Source organism: Homo sapiens, chromosome 18 (assembly GCF_000001405.40).
Source record: "Homo sapiens chromosome 18, GRCh38.p14 Primary Assembly".
In the NCBI taxonomy this organism is placed as follows: Eukaryota; Metazoa; Chordata; class Mammalia; order Primates; family Hominidae; genus Homo; species Homo sapiens.
The window spans coordinates 829,294-835,457 of record NC_000018.10 but is presented as its reverse complement, the minus strand read 5'-3'; the positions used below and the strand labels follow the sequence as shown (position 1 = coordinate 835,457).

The 6,164-nt window shown below is 45.2% G+C and overlaps 1 pseudogene, besides 1 other annotated feature; it reads right to left on the bottom strand.

Moving 5' to 3' along the window:
* Window positions 2,944–3,315, bottom strand: BOLA2P1 (bolA family member 2 pseudogene 1; annotated as a pseudogene).
* Window positions 4,568–5,134: an enhancer, noted in NCBI's record as "NANOG hESC enhancer chr18:830325-830891 (GRCh37/hg19 assembly coordinates)". NCBI's record gives its function as "activates a minimal SCP1, AML or CMV promoter by ChIP-STARR-seq in naive H9 embryonic stem cells {active_cell/tissue: H9 hESC(naive)}" and the evidence as "EXISTENCE:reporter gene assay evidence [ECO:0000049][PMID:30033119]".

Below are 6,164 nucleotides of genomic sequence, written 5' to 3'. Positions count from 1 at the left end.
ACCCTGACTGAGCAGCAAAATCACTTGTGGAGGCCGGGTATGGTGGCTCATGCCTGTAATCCCAGCACTTTGGGAGGCCAAGGCAGGCAGATCGCTTGAGCTCAGGAGTTCGGGGCCAGCCTGGGTAACATGACGCAACCCCATCTCTGCAAAACTTAGCCAGTGCGGTGGCGCGTGGCTGTAGTCTCAGCTACTCAGAAAGCTGAGGTGGAAGGATCACTTGAGCCGGGAAGCAGAGGTTGCAGTGAGCCAAGATTGCACCACTGGACTTCTGCCTGGGCAATAGAATCAGACCTTGACTCAGAAAAAAAAAAAAAAAGGAACCACTGATCTGAATAAGCCAGACACTGACAATAAATTCTGTATGAGTCCACTGAGGTACTGGAATAGTCAGATTCATAGAGACGGACTAAACGAACCTGCTCTTGGCCAAGAGAACCCCCGAGAAACCTTTTTTTCTTTTTTTCGTGGTGAAGTTTTGCTCTTGTTGCTCAGGCTGGAGTGCAATGGCGCGATCTCGGCTCACTGCAACCTCCACCTCCCAGGTTCAAGCAATTCTCCTGCCTCAGACTCCCGAGTAACTGGGATTACACGCATGTGCCACCACACCCGGCTAATTTTGTATTTTTAGTAGAGACGAGGTTTCACCTGTTGGCCAGGCTGGTCTCAAACTCCCAACCTCAGGTGATCCACCCACCTCAGCCTCCCAAAGTGCTGAGGTTACAGGCGGGAGCCACCGTGCCGGTGAGAAACCTAAAAAACTGAGTTCCCAGCCATGACAGAATGGGAGGGCAGGCACACCTCATTATATCCCTTCCCTTTTGCAGATTTGGCACAAAATCTGACCAGCATTCATGTTAAAATGGAGCTCATAATCCTGACACAATGGACTTTTTGTGGCAATAAGATACGACATTATAAACAGGACCTAAGGCCATGCATGCCAGGCAAGGATTAAGTCATGTACTCCCTAGAATTAAAGAATAAACTATGTTCCCACTGCCATCAGGGTTTTCTTTTTCTCTAGCAGCTAAACAAGCACTGGCCTTGAGATGAGCAATGTTGAAGCAGTTGCAGCTCAGCCACCATCAGACACTTAGACCGACTCCTCGTTCCACCAGCCATCACTACAGCTTTGACTGGACCAGAGACTGAGTTCTGTTACTTTCTCCTGATAAGAGGCCGCCAACTGTGGACTGGTTCTGGCCAGTTTACAGAAGCTGTGCACTTGAGAGGCTTCATGTCCCTGCTTCACCTTTTGATGTATAGGCCCTAATTGTAATACATTTAAATGTTAAGTCTCCGCTCCAAAGTGAACATGGGTCACATGTAACATGCACGTTTGCTACATGCTTCAGGACCCCTTTCATGAACATTCATAGCTCCTCCTGTAACCTGTTGAATATGTATGTTTGGCCAACCCCCTCAGCATAATTCCCGTCTCCCTTGAAAAACCTGCCTTTCAGCCTCTCCCAGAGGCTATACTTCCCAACCTGTCAGAACGGCCACCTTGCAGGCTGTAATCCTTTATTAAAAAAAAAAAAACAACCAAGTCTCCTTCTAAATTTTTTTTTCTTTCTTTCTTTCTTTTTTTTTTTTGAGATAGGATCTTGCTCTATGACCCAGGCTGGAGTGCAGTGCAATCATACTTTACTGCAGCCTTGAAATCTTGGGCTCAAGCAATCAATCCTCCCACCTCAGCCTCCGGAGTAGCTGGGACTACAGGCACACGCCACCCAGCTATTTTTATTTTATTTTTTGTAGAAATGGGGGTCTTTCTATTTTGCTTAGGCTGACCTCAAAATCCTGGGCTCAAGACATCCTCCCACCTCAGCCTCCCAAAGTGCTGGGATTAAAGGTGTGAGCCACCATGCCTAGCCCTCCTTTCTAAATTTACAAATCCTGTGCTTTTTCAGTTGATCCCAGGGACCTGCAGGTTTCTTTGCTATCACTATTTCCTCCGCCTGAAATGACCTCTTCGGCCTTCTTTCCTAGCTAATTCCTGCTCATCCCTTTGGCTCAGCTCAGGGCTGGGGCTGGACTAAGTGGACACTCCGCATTCTCTCTCTCTCGGGAATCTCATTTGTTCCACAGCTTCAGCTCTTATCTACATGTTATTGATTCCCAAATCTATCTCCAGCCCTGGCAGTGCTCCTGAGTTCTGCCTCCCATTGACACTTCCACTGGCTTTCCCTCAAACACCTCAAACCCAACATGCCCAGCACTCAAGTAATCATTTCCCCCTTTGCTATCCTGCTTTTTCTCCTGTGTTTTCTATTTCAAAGACTAGCATCATCACGTATTGTCTGTCTAGTACTTAGAACAGTGCCTAATAGCTACAGTTTTCTCTTTTCCAGAATGTCATATAAATATAGTCATACAAAATACAGCCTTCTGGCCAGGCGCAGTGGCTCATGCCTGTAATTCCAGCACTTTGGGAGGCTGAGGCGGGTGGATCACCTGAGATCAGGAGTTCAAGACCAGCCTGGCCAACGTGGTGAAACCCCGTCTCTACCAAAAAATACCAAAAATTACCTGGGTGTGGTAGCAGGTGCCTGTAATACCAGCTACTCGGGAGGCTGAGGCAAGAGAATCACTTGAACCTGGGAGGCAGAGGTTGCAGTGAGCCAAGATCACACCATTGCACTCCAGCCTGGGCAACAGAGCAAGGCTCCGTCTCAAAAAAAAAAAAAAAATGAAAAATTCCAGAAATAAACAATTAATAAGTTTCCCGCGCTGTTCTGATAACCAGGATGAAATCTCTCGCTGTCCTGTTTCCTCCTGCTTGGGGCTGGTTGTGAATCATCCCTTTGTCCAGTGTCTCCATGCCGTCTACACTACCTGCCCATCAATCACTTAGTAGCTGGCCCAGTTATCAGATCAACTGTCACGGTATTGAAGAGTGTGTGCTCATGTAAGTTTTTTTGTTGTTTTTTTGGGGGGGGTCCAGATTTATAATTTAATGGCTGTGCAGCTTCCAGTCCCTCATTTCTGCTGCTCACGGGCCCACTGCTCTGGGGTCAGGGTTTTCTGTTCAAAGGCATGGATGTGTGGGAGCTCTTCTGCTAGGCACGCATTCACCAGCTGGTGTCTCTGAAGCAGCAGCTGACACCACCAGGACTCGGAAGCTACAGGTTGAAGGTCGTGTCCTCCACCTCCACATGCTCCGCCTCCAGGTCCCGCTGCAGCTTCTCCTGGAGGTAATTGGCGCTGAGTTCCCTGGCGGTAGTCCAGCTGGGGCGGCAGCCCAGCGGGGACAGAACCCCAGCTCGGACCCCTGCCACGCTGCTTTGCGCCCTTACAGGAGCCACTTCCCTCACGTAAGCTTTCTTTGACTTAATGATGGCATCAAAGCACAAGGGTAGGGATGCTGGCATATTGTTAAAATTGTTCGATTTATCACTAGTTATTGTTGTTGATCTCTTCTGTGCCTCATTTATAAATTAACTTTTATCATAGGGATATGTGTGTGTCTATATCTACAAAAAACCGCAGTATCTATAGAGTTTGGTACTGTAGCGATTTCAGGCATCCACTGGGGATCTCAGAATGTATTCTTCACAGACAAGGAGGGACTACTGTATTATTATATGGAGGTTAACCACACTATTAGCAATAGAATTATAATAAAAACTTTCAAAAACATGGCGAAGCTGGTAATAATGTGCCTAACATCCTACAGCACCTCCCTATTGTCGACAGAAAGAGTCAAACTTTCTAAAATATGTGAAGAGTTTTATTCTGAGCCAAATATGAGTGACCATGGCCCATGAGACAGCCCTCAGGAGGTCCTGAGAACATGTGCCCAAGGTGGTCGGGGTGCAGCTTGGTTTTATACATTTTAGAGGGGCATGAGACATCAATCAAATACATTTAATAAATACATGGGATTGGTCCAGAAAGGTGGGACAGCTCAAAGCTGGGGCTTCCAGGCTATAGGTGAATTTAAACATTTTCTGGTTGACAATGAGTTTACCTTGTCTGAAGACCTGGGATTGGGCTGGGCGCAGTGGCTTATGCCTGTAATCCCAGCACTTTGAGAGGCTGAGGCAGGCAGATCACGAGGTCAGGAGTTCGAGACCAGCCTGACCAACACAGTGAAACCCCATCTCTACTAAAAATACAAAAATTAGCTGGGCATGGTGGCGGGCACCTGTAATCCCACCTACTTGGGAGGCTGAGGCAGGAGAATCGCTTGAACCTGAGAGATGGGGGTTGCAGTGAGCCGAGATCATGCTACTGCACTCCAGCCTGGGCAACAGAGCGAGACTGTGTCTCAAACAAACAAACAAACAAACATCCAAAGTGGCCGTCACTAAATGCTAATAAACACTAGAGGGCACAATTGAGTTGTGGAAAATTTCAGCCAATATTGCAAATGAAACAAGGTATGGACTCTAGCAAAAATTAATACACCAGAAAAATGGGTAGTGAAAATCATAAGCTTTGAAAACAATTGCTTTCTTTGTAAATCTGTTGATTAACCTTAGCCCTTTGAGATAATTGAATTAAAGTAGACTTAACACTTTAAATTTAATACCAAGCCAATACTGTATTCCAAAAATAAAGCATAGATACATTGACAAATAGGACTACTTACATCAAAAAACTAGTGGGGGTGTTCTCAGTGTTAAGAGTCAGTTTCTGTCTGAATTTTTCTTTCTTTAGATATTCCTGTCTTCTGGCAATGACGGTTTGGCCATGGAATTCACACTCATTCTAAGCTGGCCACTTGAGAAAGCTTGAAATTTCTAAGGTTTTGTTATTGTAAGAGGTGACCAGATGTTCCAAACATCAAGCTATACAGGAAGCTCTCCACCCACTCCAAATGTCATGCTGAGTTCTCAACAGACTTCCGTTTCCCGTTTCCTTTTTCCCCTCTCTCTGATTTTTTTCTTCAAAGTCTATTCAAAAGCTGCTGCCAAAACCATCTTCCTCTATTGTTGTTCTGATGACATCATTCCCTTCCCCAGCTCCCCTTGTCTTTGGTCTCATGACCACAGTTTGCCTTCATTTCCTTGGGCTGCCACTGTGCCTGCCTCTACCTCCTTTCCCCCTGATTTCCCGCTGCTTCTCACCAACTGTGACGCAGGATTATCACTGCTGATGTCCCAGTGCTGAGGTATCTATTATCTTCTAACAAAGAAGAGTATTCCCATTCCACTACCCAGACTTTCCCAGGTCTCTTCTAAACTCATTTTATTTATGTATTCATTGCTCACGAGTATACTAAGCACCTTCTGCATGTGTTCTAGGTACTAGAGGAGAGAGAGAGAGAGAGAAGAAGAAAAGACATAATCTTTTTTTTCTCTCTTTATGCCAGCTGCTCTGGCCAGCTTAAAAAAAGACAATCTTTAAGATCAAAATTGCCAGGAAGCCATTTAAGTTGGGGCTTTTGGAAACCAACTAGAACTTACTCTCCCTTAGAACCTGAAGGAATGAGTAGCAGGAGAAAATTATACAATGATACAAAATAACTATACCATTCGGGATAGTAGATTTGGGATAATTCTAATCATTTCATCACCTTGAGACAGGGTCTTGCTCTGTCACCCAGGCTGGAGTGCAGTGGTAGAATCACAGCTCACTGCAGCTTCAACCTCTCGGGCTCACGCGAGCCTCTCACCTCAGCCTCCCAAGCAGCTGGGACTACAGTCATGTACCACCACACCCTGCTAATTCTTTTTCTTGCCCAAGCTGGTCTCAAACTCTTGAGCTCAAGCAGTCCGCCTGCCTCGGCCTCCCAAAGTGCTGCAAGTACAGGCTTGAGCCACCTCGTTTGGCCTCTAGCTCAGTAATTAATCTGACACTTGGTGACTGGCATACTGGTTTGCATTTCTCATTCCTCAGTTTCCTCGCCTGTAAAATGGGGGTAGTGACATCTACCTATTCATCTTTTAAGATTGTTATACGGATCAAATGTGATAATAAAATAATTTGAAAAATATAAAGTATTATTTGGCATAACGTAATATTATATTTGTGCCACTGAAATCTAAATATGTCATGATGCAAACATACTGTATATTTTATTGATTGAGTCAACCATCATGTCTTGTTTAGTTGTTCATAGAAACTATTTTAGAATGAAAGGTTAAAAAGGCAACATAATTAAGAAACACAAAGGAAAAGAAGACATTTGACTTCTGCTATTATAACTTCTC